Source organism: Homo sapiens, chromosome 2 (assembly GCF_000001405.40).
Source record: "Homo sapiens chromosome 2, GRCh38.p14 Primary Assembly".
NCBI lineage: Eukaryota > Metazoa > Chordata > Mammalia > Primates > Hominidae > Homo > Homo sapiens.
This window is the reverse complement of record NC_000002.12, coordinates 188,744,624-188,760,069: the sequence shown is the minus strand read 5'-3', so window position 1 is coordinate 188,760,069 and position 15,446 is coordinate 188,744,624. Positions and strand designations below refer to the sequence as shown.

The window sequence follows — 15,446 nt, the reverse complement described above, 5'->3', positions numbered from 1 at the left end:
TATATATATATACATATATATATACAGATACGTAAAATATATATTATTCTGTATTTAAATATGTTATTTTTTTCTGGATTCCTTCAAGATTTCCTTTTTACCTTTAGTTTTTAGCATTTTTCATATGCTATTTTAGGTGATTTATTTATTTAGTTAAATAGCTAGTCAGTTTATTCTGCTTGGTTCTCTATGAATTTCTTTGATCTGTGGTTTCACATCTTTCATTATTTTTTGAAAAATTCTCAGCCACTAACTTACAGTATTTCCCTTCCATGTTTTGCTTCTCTTCTTCTTTTGTGACTCCTATTACACCTATGTTAGACTGATTAATGTCGTCCCTAAGGTCTTGCATGCATTAGTCTTTTCTTTTTGCTCTTTGTGATTTAGCCTAGTTTCTTTCTATTGAACTATCTTCATATTTACCAATTCTTCTTTCTTTGTCAAAGGCATTTTTCTTATTTCAACTACTATGTTTCATATATCCATCATTTCTCTTTCTTCCTTACAGTTTTCATCATTCTGATGAAATTTAAAATCTGTTTTTGGCCAGGCACAGTGGCTCACGCCTGTAATCCCAGCACTTTGGGAGGCTGAGGTGAGCAGATCACTTGAGGTTGTGAGTTTGAGACCAGCCTGACCAACATGGAGAAACCCCATCTCTACTAAAAATACAAAATTAGCCAGGCTTGGTGGCGCATGCCTGTAATCTCAGCTACTTGGGAGACTGAGGCAGGAGAATCGTTTGAACCTGGGAGGTAGAGGTTGTGGTGACCCGAGATCGTGCCATTGTACTCCAGCCTCAGCAACAAGAGCGAAACTCCATCTCAAAATAAATAAATAAATAAATAAAATCTGTTTTTATAATTTTTTTCTCAACTCTAGTATGTGCATGCTATCCACTTTTTTTAAAAAAAGTTTTTAAATACAGTAATTTTAGTTATTTTAAATTTTCTGTTTCATAGTTCCATAGTTCCATATTTGGATCATATATGGACCTGGTTTTATTGATTCCAATATATCTTGCCAGCATATTGTTTTTCTCACTTCATTGTTCTGTAATTTTTTGATAGATACTGGACATTGTGTCTGAGACAATATAGATGAAAATAAATATTGCTTATGTGTGAAATGAACATGTCTCTTTATGCTAGACTTTTAGCCTGGCAGATTGAGTTAATCTAGTCAGGGTTTGAGCAAGATTTAGGTTTTGCTGTTGCAATGATTTGGGGACACCATTGGTTTAAATGTTTTCTAGCTTTTCTTTGAGCTTATGACAGGACCTTAGTTTCAGGGAGATTTCCTCAACGATTCTGTTCTGTCTTTAGTTCTATATTTTTTTATAGCCTTACTAATCAGAGAAGACCTCTCTCTGTGTTGTTGCCTCTCTTTCAGCAGTAGACTGATATTACTTAACACACATTACTTGGTAGTATGGTGCTGGGGAATGGAGAGGCTTTTCTCTTGTTCTGCTTTAGCATCAGTCTTAGGCAAACCCTATATTCCCAGGTCTTAGGTCTTTTTCAGTGATCCTGCCTCCACTGTGGTAGAGGACTTCTAATGTCCTACTTTGTCCCAACATCAAGTGCTTTTTTTCTCTTTATTTTCCCACACTACAATGGATTTCCATGTATTTCCTGAAAGATATAATATATTGTGTCCCTCTTTCAGTGGTGCAAGGCTTTTTTTTTTCAATGTGTAGACAGACAAGAATGATCTAGTTGGGACTTTGTGCCAAAAAGGCAATAATGATACACAAGTTCATTGTGCCTTTCTCACAGTGGTTGGTAAATTTCTCCCCAATGCTTGCATTAAGCAGGAGCTGTCTCTGGTATCCTAAACCTTTCTTGTAAGCACCTGGAGAGGTACATGGACAAAAGATTAGGTGCAATCTTTCTTTGTGTCTGTGGCTACAATTCTGTACTTTCATACTAAACAACAATTAACATTTAGAAATGTGTTAAAATATTTAGCTTTTTTTTTTTTTTTTTTTTTTACCAATTTGCTTGTACCCTATGTGTCTTTCCTTTATACTTTTGTGCAGATGAACCAGTGCTCATGTCCTATCTCTCTTGGAAAGCACCCATGTTTCCTTAGACTTAAGACTGATTGTCCAGTAGCCTCAGAATCTTAGATTAGTTCAAAAAATCTGTGATTTGTAGATTATCCAAATTTAGGAAGAGCCAAGATGGCTGAATAGGCACAGCCAAGAAGAGCTTTTCTCACCTAGAAAGACCAGATCATCAGTAGACTGGCACACTCCAAACAGATTTTCAGAAAGATGGCATTGAGTGTGGAAAGAGGAAGGATGCAGACCCAGGGCTGGAAGAGTAGAAAGCTGGAAAAAACACATGGGGTTTCCAAGCACCAGGACTCATTTCTTGGCCCAAGTGGCTCCCAAGGAAGGAGTAAGTGAAATAGGTGTGGAGTGACTCACTCTCACCAATGGATTTCCAGAATCCCAGCTGCAGGAGACCCCATGATCCCCATAGACATTTGAGAAATCAAGAAATTATTTGAAACTACTAAAAATAAAAATACAGCATACCAGTATCTTGCAGACTCAATTAAAGCAGTGTTAAGACAAACATTTATGGTCCTAAATGCTTAGATCAAAAAGTTAGAAAGATCTCAAATTAACAACTAACATCACATCTAGAGGAATTAGGAAAACAAGAGTGAACCAGTCCCAAAGCTAGCAGAAGAAAAGAAATAACCAAAATCGGAGCTGAATGGAACAAAATTGAGATGTGAAAATTCATGGAAAAATGGTTTTTTGAAAGAATAAATAAGATTGATAGATAGTAGCCAGAGTAATAAAAAGATAGTATCCCAATATACACAATCTGAAATGACAAAGATGACATTACCACCAAGCCCACAAAAATACAAAAAAAAAAAAAAAACCCTCAGAGTCTATTACAAACATTTATGTGCACAGAAACTAGAAGCACTAGAAGAAATGGATAAATTCCTGGAAACCTTTAACCTCCCAAGATTGAACCAGGGAGAAACTGAATACCTAAATAGACCATAATGAGTTCTAAATGGAATCAGTAATTAAAAAAAAAACCCTATAAACTAGAAAAAACTCTGTACCAAATGGATTCACAACTAGTACAAATCTTGCTGAAATCATCCCAAAAAATCGAGGAGCAGGGTCTCCTCCCTAACACGTTGTATGATGCCGGTATCATCCTGATACCAAAACCTAGCAGAGACACAATGAAAAAAGAAAACTTTAGGCATAAACAAACATTATAGACACAAAACTCCTTAACAAAATACTAGCAAATTGAAAAGTTAAACTCATGATTAAATAGACTTTATTAATCATGATTAAAAGCACATCAAAAATCTAACACCATGATTAAATAGACTTTATTCCTGGAATGCAAGGTTGGTTCAATATATGCAAATTAATATTAATAAATGTAACTCATATAAACAGAACAAAAAACAAAACATACATGATCATCTCAATGGATGCAGAAAGGGCTTTCAATAAAATTCAACATCCTTCATATTAAACACCCTCAGCAAACTAGGCATTGAAGGAACATACCTAAAAATAATAAGAGCCATTTATGACAAGCCCACAGCCAACAGCATACTGAATGGGCAAAAGCTGGAAGTATGCCACTTGTGAACTGCAACAAGACAAAAATGCCCACTCCCACCACTCCTATTCAACATAGTACTGGAAATCCTGGCCAGAGCAATCAGGCAAGACAAACCAATAAAAGCCATTCAAATAGAAAGAGAGGAAGTCAAACTATCTCCATAATTGATAATATGATTCTATACTTAGAAAACCCCACAGTCTCTGACCAAAGGCTCCTAGACCTGATAAACACGTTCTGTAAAGTTTCAGGATACAAAAGTAATGTATAGAAATCAGTAGCATTTCTATACTACAATACTGTCCAAACTGAGAATCAAATCAAGCCAAATCAATAACTCAATCCCATTCACAATAGCCAAAAATAAGATAAAATACCTAGGAATACAGCTAACCAGGGTAGTGAAAAATTTCTACAGTGAGAATTACAAAACACTGCTGAAAGAAATCAGACATGACACAGACAAATGAAAAAACATGTCATGCCCATGGATAGGAGGAATCAATATTTTTAAAATGGTCACACTGCCCAAAGCAGTTTACAGATTCAATGCTGTTCTTATCAAACTACCAATATCATTTTTCATAGAATTAGAAGAAACTATTATAAAATCCATATGGAACCACAGAAGAGTCCAGGTAGCCAATGTAATCTGAAGAAAAAAAAAAACAAAGCCAGAGGCATCATACCACCTGACTTTAAACTATACTACGAAGCTACAGTAACAAAAATTGCAGTGTACTGGTGCAAAAACAGACATACAGACCAATGGAACAGGTTAGAGAACCCAGAAATAAAGCTAAACACCTACAACCATCTGATTTTTGACAAAGTCAACAATAACAACCAATGGGGAAAGAACTCCTTGCTCAATAAATGGCTCTGGTATAGCTGGCTAGCCATATGCAGAGGATTGAAACTAGACCCCTTCCTTTCAGCACACACAAAAATCAACTCAAGAGGGATTAACAACTTAAATATAATATCTAAAACGATAAAAACTCTAGAAGAAAATCTAGGAAATACCAATCCAGACCTAGGCCTTGGCAAAGATTTCATGATGAAGTTTCCAAAAGCTATTACAACAAAACCAAAAATAGACAAGTGGGACCTATTTAAACTAAAGAGCTTCTATAAAGCAAAACAAACAAAGCAAGCAAGCAAAACTATCAACAGAGTAAACTGACAATGTACAGAATGGGAGAAAACATTTGCAAAACATGCCTCTGACAAAGCCCTAATATACAGAATTTATAAGGAACATAAACAAATCAACAAGCAAAAAACAAACAACCTCATTTAAAAAAATGGTCAAAGAACATGAATAAAAACATTTCAAAAGTAGACATACTGCCAAAAGCATATGAATAAATACTCAACATCACTAATTATTAGAGAAATGCAAATCAAAACCACAATGAGATACCATTTCACACCAGTCAGAATGGCTATTGTTGATAAGTGGGTTGATAAATTTTAAAAAGGAAAATAATTAATAAAAATATGAGTAATTTAGCAAATATTTGAATCTCTTTCATATGTGGGATTCACTGTTGGTATCCTTAACTCAGCTTATGGATGATGAGATGCTTTGTTTTTTTTAATGGCAAAATTTGTTTTGATGTTTAAGTGCAGCATAAATGGCTTTCTAAATCCTAAAATTTTGGAAAACATGATAGGGTATTAAGTGGTCTTCAACATATGCTAATTATTTGAAATAATTATTTAATATCAACTAAACTGTTTTAATTCAACCGTCAATAGTAAATCTAATCTGATCTGTTCAATTCATGAATTTTCACCGTAAGTGGTAACTTAGTTCTTTTGTGAGATGGTAGAAGTCATTTCAACTATTTTTTGAATGAAACTAAAATTATTTAAATAACTTCTATTTATGAAACATGGACAACATCGTTATTAAAAATCGAATTTAAATTTCAACATTTAAAAATGTCTGCCTTCCACAAACTTGTTCATGCTTTCATCCAAACTTCAATCTATACTTTTATTTGAAAAATAGGAAATAAGACTAAAGAATAAATTCTTCCTTCAAAAAGTTTATAATCTAATAGATACTAAGTACAAATAAATTAGATTTTTGTATTTCAAAAAATCTTCACAGTTTAATTAAACAATTTTTTTCAATTTTTAAAATTCATGTAGTGTCTTCTATGGCTGAGCATTGGGCTGGGTGCCGGCAGAGACTAAGGAGAAGGAAAGTTACACAGTTCTAACAGATCAAAAGGTATAAATATGACTCCATACAAATTATAAAATGATTGGAATAGAGCCTTTAAAAAAAAAAAGTCCAAACAAGCATCTATATCCAAAAAAGACCAGATTTTAATTTATATTTAAATGTTCCTAAAAATCAACAAGACCCAATTATAAATGGGCAAAACGACATAAATAGTACACATAAAAAGAAAAACAAAGGGCTTTTAAACTTGTGAAAATATACATAATCTAACCTACAATAAGGGAAATGGAAAATTAGACTAAGTTGTTTTTCACCAATCACATCGATAGAGATTTACAAATTGGTTACATATTCTATTCACAAGGAGGAAGAAAAACAGACAACTTCGGACATTTTTGGTGGGAGGGCAAATTGACAGAGCCTCTGTGGAGAGCATTTTGCCAATATAAATCAAAGAGTAAAAGATATACAACCATTTCCAAGAATTTATTTTACTCTCCGAGTGTCCAAAATTGTATGAATATGAATATACGTTGGAACATGTTTATTTATAATAACCAAAAAATTGGAAATATATATTCATTAATAAGGGATATTCATTGTATAATGTATATGTAAAATGTAGCAAGAACTTCCTATTGTATAATGTACCAAATGTGTTAGGTTTTGTTTTGTTTTTGTTTGTTTGTTTTATTTTTTTTTAGACGGAGTCTCACCCTGTCGTCCAGGCTGGAGTGAAGTGGCGCGATCTCAGCTCACTGCAACCTCCGCCTCCTGGGTTCAAGTAATTCTCCTGCCTCAGCCTCCCAAGTAGTTGGGATTACAGGTGCCCACGACCACACCTGGCTAATTTTTGTATTTTTAGTAGAGGCGGTATTTCGCCATGTTGGCCAGGATGGTCTCGATCTCCTTACCTCGTGATCCGCCCGCCTGGGCCTCCCAAAGTGCTGGGATTACAGGCATAAGCCACCACGCCTGGCCATTAGGTTTATACAGAAGAATACTACGCTACCATTAAACCAAATATTGGTTCTATAAGAACTGTCATGAAATTATCTCTAATATATATTTTTAAGTGAAATATACAAATTGGAGAACATTGTAGAAAATACGCTACAACCTGTATAAACAACGTAAACACGTATCAATATGCTTTCATGTGCATAACTTGATTTGTATTTCCGTGGGGTATTTTTGAAAGATACAAAAGAAAATTTTGTGAATATTTGTTGTGGAGGAAAGCTGGGGACATGGAGAAATAATACTGAGAAAAACCTAATTGTAACTCATATAATCTCTCTTCCTTATCAATATATGTTACACATACAACAGTAACATAGGTGACAAATAGTGTCTGCCTTAGATTGGATGGTAAACTCAATATACAATTAAGAAATAAAATCAATTTGTGTCATTTGGGTATGGGTAGTTAGAAAAGTTACATAGAAGATGTTGCATATTTCTGGCTTAGAAACTGCTGGACCTAGTGATTCGATTTTGTGAAATTCCTTATCTCTCACATTTGCAAAACCTTTCTTTTTTATCCAATGCCAATTTCTAAAATTTTATTTAAATAAATGAAACATCCCTATTTACATTTAAGAAAAGCCATCTTATTTACAGTAAAAAAAATTAACAGGAAATATATTTGTCTTACTACAGTGAACAGCACTATCCTTTAGTCCATGGGGAAGTAGCAGAAACACAAGCCCCTGCAGGTCAGGTTCCTTAATGGATCTCAGTCTGGGCTGTGAGTGAGGGTGGGGTTCCCCAAAGCAGACTCCTGGCCATAAATAGAATTTATATCCATTTTGTTAACATATTTTTTTTCATGAATTAAGCACTTTCAAAATATTCCTCCTTACAACGGTATTAGGAAATATATTTAAATTGCTGATACAATACAACCAGCAAAATATTTCCTTTAAATGTAAGATTTTTATAAATTCCAAATCTATTTCTACTTTGGCATCTGTTATAAGTTACAGCCTATATCCATACCACCACGTATCCCTCACACAAAGTGATGGAAGCACATAATAAATGTTTCTGCTTCTTAGTGCTTGGGCAAGTCCAAATCCACTTCTCTCAACTTGGCAAAGATCTTTTCATTTTTTTAAGTTTCAACATTAATAATTTTTAATTTATTAGCTTGGCACACTATGACAATAAGTAATATGGAATATATTCTATACCTTAAGGACTGGCCATAAAATCACAGACAGAGTACATTTCTAAAACAGTCCCTTCAGTGGGTCTATGCCAAATGTGACTCAATTGTTCAAAGATTACTCACACAAAACTGCTTTCATTTTGTTACTTCTCACTGCCCCACATTTCAATATCTCGTTTTACCAGCCAATGAGAAGTAAATTTAAATATATATGATTTCTCTTATTCAACTAACATTTTCTGAAACGATGTTTAATAATCAAGCTTTGTTATTAATGTATATCAATATAGAAAGGTACACAGTTTAAGGAGACCAGGGAGTAAATATTTTAGAGTTGTATTTATAATGCCTGATTGCTTTCTTTCTAAATTTTTAAGTTGTTATACAATGGATTCCTTTTGAAAGTAGTATAATGAAACATATAATATAAATTATTCATACTTTCATGATGATTTGTGTTGCAAATCGATGTAACAGTTCATTACATATATTACAGCGAGCAAAGATTGGGTAGAATTTTCAAAACATAAAGGGAAGACACAACAAGCCATTATCTTAAAGTGTCATAAACTTATGAAACTTTCTTTTGTAGAAGTTTAGCTAATTCCAAGACATAATCTGGAAATTTCCCAATAAATTAAACATATAATTACTACATAACTCAGCAATTCCACTTCTAGGTATTTACCCAAGGAAAATGAAAACACAAATCCACACAAAAATTGTACATAAATATTTATAGCAGCATTACTTACAATAGCCAAAAGGTGGAAACAGTGCAAATGCCCATCAACTGATAAACGGATAAACAAACTATGGCATATCAATACAATGGGATATTTTTTCAGCCATAAGAAAATGAAGTACTGGTACATGATACCACATCGATCAACCTGGAAACATTTTGCTAAATCAAAGAAGTCTATCACAAAACACCATGTATCAAATGGTTTCATTCATAAAAGTCCAGAGTAGGAAAATCTACAGAGACAAAAATACATTAGTGGTGTCTTAGGGATAGCAGGGTATAGAGAGTAATAGGCAAAGGGCACAGGTTTTCCTTTTGAGCTCATGAAAAAATTCTAAAACTGACTTTGGTTATGGTTGCATGTTATCTGTGAACACACTAAAAACCATTGAACTTCATACTTTAAATGGGAGAATTGATACATGAATTATAGCACAATAAAAGTATTTAAAAATTTCAAAAGGAATTTCTGACCAGTCCTAACACTAGTCAGGCCAGGACTGCTGTAGCTATCTTAGGTTGTCATTGAAGATCAGAAACTTATAACCAACCATTTTTTTACATGCAACTTTCATTATTAGAATCTTAATGGTACCTCTTCACCTCCAACTCATGACCAGATTTCAGCAGTAAAAAGAAGCAAACAATATAGAGTATCTATAACAGAAAAGCAAAAATTTACCCAGAAATCCTCGTTGTTTTTCCTTTGGTATCAGAAATAAGACAATCCTCAGAAACAAGAGAGAAATAAGAAATTTGCTATCTTTACCTGGACACTTTTCCACATCAAGCAGAATCTGTAGAAAAGAAATTGGGTAGGTGTCTTAGTGTGTTTGAGCTGCTGTAACAAAAAACCCTAAACTGAATAATTTATGAACAACAGAAATTTGTTTTTAACAGTTCTGAAGGCTGTGAAGCCCAAGATCAAGGCCCCAGCAGATTCTCCACCTGGCAAAGTCTCTATTCCTCATAGACAGCACCTCTAGCTGTGTCCTCACATGGCAAAATGGGCAAACACTGTGCCTCACATGGCAGGAGGAGCAGGCAGCGCCCTTCACCCACTTTTATAAAGGTACTGATTCCATTCCTGAGGGCTCTGCTCATGATACATGAATCACTTCTCAAAATGCTCCACTTCTTAATACCCTGCCATGGGGATAAGGTTTCAACGTGAATTTTAGAGGGACACATTTAGACTATAGCAGTAGGCAATTTTCAAGGACTCTCAGAAATTCATAAGAGATATTTGAGTTTTACAGGTCTTTAATGTTTTACCAGAGATAAGTTTCAGAAAATGTTTTAAAATCCATGTTAAGTTTATAGGATAGGAACTTAAGATTAAAATATAATTTAATATTACAACAATATTTTTTCTTTGTAATCATAAATGTTAGTCTACTATTTTCCATCTTCACAGATAATTTTTTAAAATCACAAAAACAACATAGAGGCATAAAGCTGACATTTGTTTCTACATTTTTGAAATAAATTTACAAGATTAATAGATTTGTTAATTCAATAATCATTGGTTAAATACATTCTATTGTTCATGCCCTTTGAATTGCTGGACATATAAAGCTAATTCTATGATACCATAGAGGAAATTTTAATAGGAAATTGTTTAGGGATATTTCAGATAGGTTACGTTTGACCTGATTTCTTAAAGGAAAACTGTTTACCAAACAGTGAAGAGGAGAGAGGTAATAAATACTGGAAGAACGGTTGGCACAAACCCCTAGAAGTATTTTATAAAGATGATATTGCAGAAAATAGTTAAAAAAAAAAACTTCAAAAGAGTAAGCAGGGAAAGCATGAGGTGAGATTCAATTGCTAAAGTAGATGTAGGTAAGATCCATCAGTAATATGGACCCATAAGTAGTATGGATTTTACGCTGTAGATATTTGAGCCACAGGGACAGTTTAAGAAGTGTTAGAAGAGTCTGTGAGCATTTTATAAATTATAAAAAATTTTATAAATGCACTAATGAACAGTGCAGAGCTTGAAGTGTTCGAATACTAAAAAAAGGACTCTTGCTTGTAAAGTTCAAAAGAAATCTGGTCTCTCCTTGGCCAGAAGATCATAGTTACTTCACTTCCAAAAGATTTAATATGTATAGCACACTCCCAACATGAAGATAAAGTGGTTATAAAATGTGCTGTGAAATGTCCCTCTTAAAAAAAGAAAGAGTCATATATGAAAATTAAATTTTATTTGAAATATATAAATTATTGTGAGCATAGATTCCTATAAAATGATTACTTTTTTCATCTTGGTTAAATTCTTCAATATTTAATCTTATTACTGTAATTTTATTTAGACTGTTTCATAGAATGTTGTAAAAAACTGGTAATTTTACCTATTGTTTTTAGTCATGTTTTTAGTGAGAAGCCTTGTACTGAAATATCTAGTTCATTATAATATATAATGCCTTTTTTATTTTTCAAGAATATTTCTTTTGTACTCTTAATATGTATATGCCCAAGAGTTATAGTATGTTTGTTTGTTTGTCTGTTTTGTTTCATTCTGAAGTTTGAGGAATCCCCTGGAGATTTACTTGAGTTTTAAAAATGAAATATTTTTGGAACATTTTAAGTGTTAACACAAACAACTTTGTGTAAACATATTTTTTAACAATAACTCTTTTATTTCTTTTCCTGACCTAAGAGGAATTCTAAGAATGGTGCGATATAGAATAAAACTTGGTTTTTAATTTAATTATCTCAAAAAGTAAAAAATATTATTCTAAACAGATAATCACATATTAGACAGTGCTAAACTTAAGATTCCTGGTTTTAATTAATTCCTGACGCTGTGTCTACCATTAGCTTCAGCTGTGAACCACAGGAGCATAAATCCACCCGTCCCTAGGATGGAGAAGACATGCCATTTCTCTCTGTTTTCCTGAGCAGTGTAATATGTATGGGTGATATCTAGAATTGCTGTAGTCATCTTACCCACCTTGTGAATAGTAACTTATGGCCAAAGAACAGAATCACTTAGAAATTGAGCTGGAACTCTGATTAAGTAATTCTTCAAAACCTATTTCTGCATTTGTAGTTTCATATGAACTGGCACAGACCTTTCTTTAAAGATTTAATTGAACTTTCTGTTACTTGCACGTGAAAACAACATAATTGAAACAGATTGAAATAGTCTAAAATTAAAAATAAAAAACTATCAGTGTGCATCTTCATTGCATCATACGAGTAAATGTGAGGTAATAGGGAGATAGGAGACATGAGCTCTATTTAGTTTAGAGTGTGCCATGTCATGGACACTGAACAAGCACTAGAAATAGAGGGTTGCATAAGAATCTGTGTCTCACTTTGGAGAGCTAGAATGACTCTGGAGGAAACTGACACAAAAATAGGTAATTTTACTAAGATATTGTGTGTGTATATGCAAATACTATGCTTAAGGAGTCCGCAGAAGAGAGATAATCAACACAACTCTGAGCGTGTCTGAAAGAATCAGTCATTAGTAAAGTGAAAAAGCAAGACGACAACATATGAGCAACACATAGTGTCATGGAACAGCCAATTGTCATTGGGGAATTATTTGGCTAAAACATAGTTTGTAAGGCAAGGTTACTGGGAGATGAAGTTGCAGAGAAAGGCCATGAAAGGGTGGTGTGCATCTTTCTAAGAAGTTCCAGCTTTAACACTTAATTTGGAAAGTAACACTATTTTAAGAAATAATGTTAAAATTACTGATATTTACTAAACTCAACAAAGAACGTAGAGTACACTTAGTGACTGATAGCAGAGTAAATAAATAATGCATATCTACGAAGAGGATATTATTTAAAATAAAGGCCCTGAAATTTGTGGGTTTATATATTCAGAATAAATTACTTGATGATCAACACTTAAAAGGACATCTTGCCCCCTAATTTAAAGCTAGATGGAGCAAGTCAGTAAAGTTTCATGTATTTGACTTGTTGTTCAAACTTAGAGGGAAGTGTGTTGTTTGATAGAATAAAGAAACATGCATTAGATGTTATAGAGATGGATAGCAAAATAACAAATCGAGCCCCTGAGGCAGAGGCTGCAGTGAGCCGAGATAGAGATCCCACCACTGCACTCAATCCTGGGTGACAGAGTGAGACCCTGTCTCAAACAAACACACACACAAACAAAAAACACAAATTATAGTATACAAAAAGCAGATCTTCATAGAAACAGAGGAGAATGGGCATGTAGGGGAGATGAGACCAGACTCAGTAGGTGGAGTGAGGCATGGTGAGGTTGAAAGGGCATGAGTTAAAAGGGATTTAAATATAGCCTCCTAATCATCAGTTTAGAACAGTAAATGAGATATGTATCTAGTACATAGGAAAAGTCATTATCTGTTAGCTATTGCTTTTATTGTTTTGATTATTTCACCTTGTGGCCTGCCCATGAGTCATACTCTGTAGAACACATAAGACCTCTTCCATGAACAAGACTGCTTAGTTACTATTTCTAGAGTTGATTTCAATATTCTTTACTTTGCCACAATCTTCCTGGCTGTCTGACTCCTTGGCCACTAATTAGGAATTTAAGAGTTATCTGGCTCTAAATCTATACTCACACCTGGATTCTATCAGTATTTTTCTTCTTATTCTAGACATACCCACTTCCACAGTCCTGCCCTGTAGGTTCCATAATAACCAGCAGTGGAAGGATATAAATTATATTCAGTCTTCTTCCCAAATGTGTATTAAAGTTTTAAAATCACAAATTCCATTTTCATTGGTTGGAAACTGCTTCTGAAATATGTCAATGTTAAGTCATTGAATCTCATTCCTTTCATTTTGTAGGTTTGTAACTTTACCAACTTCAATAAATTTTATATTCTTTTATAGACATGATCACATAACCACAGAGAGCTTTGAAAACACCAGCCCTATTAAAATCTAGCAGGTATGTTTTTGCACACTCTTAAACTTGGGTGAGGGTACTGGAAATAATTAGTTTTCCTCCCCATGATGACACAGTTCTCAGTTACTACATGTAGTCTGAGTAACACGTACCAGCTATGGGAATGGTTTAGATTTTAGTGCACCTGTCTCAGAGGTGTAGTCAAGGCCAAAAATATTAGTGAATAGTTTATGCCACACCCCAAAACAACCAGTGGTTAATTCTCTTGTGCTTTGGGGAATAGAGTTATTATATTTTATGATAGCAATGACTGGCATCCACTAACCATATTCCATATGCTTCGCATGAGGTCAGAGTAATTGATTATTTTAAAGCATGGGGCCAATTATGTAACTCTATTATTGCCCGGAAAATAAATACCTGAAAGATAAATGTAGTATGACCTTATGCAAAACTCAGAAAATGAGTTTCCATTCTGTCTTCTGAAAAGACTGAGACATCTACAGTATTATGGTCCTAAGAAAACAAATTCTCTGGTTTCTATTTATTTGTTTTAAATGATAGGTAAATCCTTTTTTATCAGTTAGTCAAGGGTAAGATGTGAATTGAAAGATGCCTCTACTGTGCCAGCAAGGAAAACAAGAGACTTTCCAATAATCATTGCAGCTGTCCATTGATAGTTGACTCCATTAATGAAGTAAACAAAATAAATGACAATAAGTAAATACAATAATAGTTGCACACAGACTCTACACACAGCCATGCCAAATCCTCAGAAAATAATTCTCATAAAATCAGAAGATTCTTTTAGTGTTCTCTACATAAACATACCAGGAAAAAGGTTAGATGCTGATTTTTATCTGATTGTATGTGATGTACAGTAACTTATATTTGCAGAACTTATGCTTAGCATCAAAATCCCTGGTTTGTATTATAATTCTAGAATCACTCCTTTTATCTGGGGGACCAAATGTTCTGTAAGTGGGTAATTATTTATGTATTAGAAATAGAGTGAGGATTAATTTAAGAAACTCTGCGTTAGAGTCTGGTACTATTGTATGAATTTGAGCATGTTACCTGTCATTCCTGCAACTTCAATTTTACTTTGTTGAAGATTATATAAATAACACTGGTTCTGATTGTTGAGAATTTGAATAAAATAGCAAATGGCAAATCACTTTTAATTTGACAAATGATATGAAATTGCTTATTTCTATAAAAGTTCTTACAGTGTGGGCTATGGATCATAAAATTCTCTTCATCTTTTTTTTCTTCAACTTTTATTTTAGGTTCAGAGAATCCATGTGCAGGTTCATTACATGGGTATTTTATGTGATTCTGAGGTTTGGGGTATGGATTCTGTCACCCAGGTAGTGAGCATTGATTGTATCCAATAGGTAGTTTTTCAAACCATGCTGCCTGTCTCTCTCTCTCCAGTAATAGTCCTCGGTGTCTATTGTTCCCAACTTTATCTTTGTGTATCTATTTATATTATCTTCATGTTTGGATGGTAGATTAATTGGATGTCAGAGTCTGGATCGACAGTTCTTTTGTTGGTAATTGTTTTCTCTCATCATCTCTAATGTTTTCATTCACGAAGCATTTAGCTATGGGTATTTACTTCTTTATCATTTATATCTTGCTTTGTACTTTCAATTATCACTTTCAAACTGAGGTTACATGTCTTTAATTCTGTAAAATATCCCACCCATTCTCCAAAAATTGTTCTGCTCTTTGCTATTTTCTTCTGGAACTCCTCATAGACTTATACTGACACTTCCAAACCTATGCTCCATTTCTCAGACTGTTTTATGATGTATTTTACCCTTGCATCTCTCTATG

At 33.7% G+C, this 15,446-nt stretch overlaps 2 long non-coding RNA genes across 2 annotated transcripts in view; one reads left to right on the top strand and one right to left on the bottom strand.

The window, feature by feature from the left end:
• The window catches only part of DIRC1 (disrupted in renal carcinoma 1), a 56,386-nt gene that overhangs the window by 30,054 nt on the left and 10,886 nt on the right, over positions 1-15,446 (top strand). The gene's annotated exons all lie outside the window — the stretch shown is intronic.
• Positions 173-15,446, bottom strand: part of LOC105373790 (uncharacterized) — a 104,710-nt gene continuing 89,436 nt past the window's right edge. Inside the window, exon 4 of the long non-coding RNA XR_923685.3 lies at positions 173-9,538. This is a non-coding gene — a long non-coding RNA (uncharacterized LOC105373790). The remainder of the gene's footprint in view (positions 9,539-15,446) is intronic.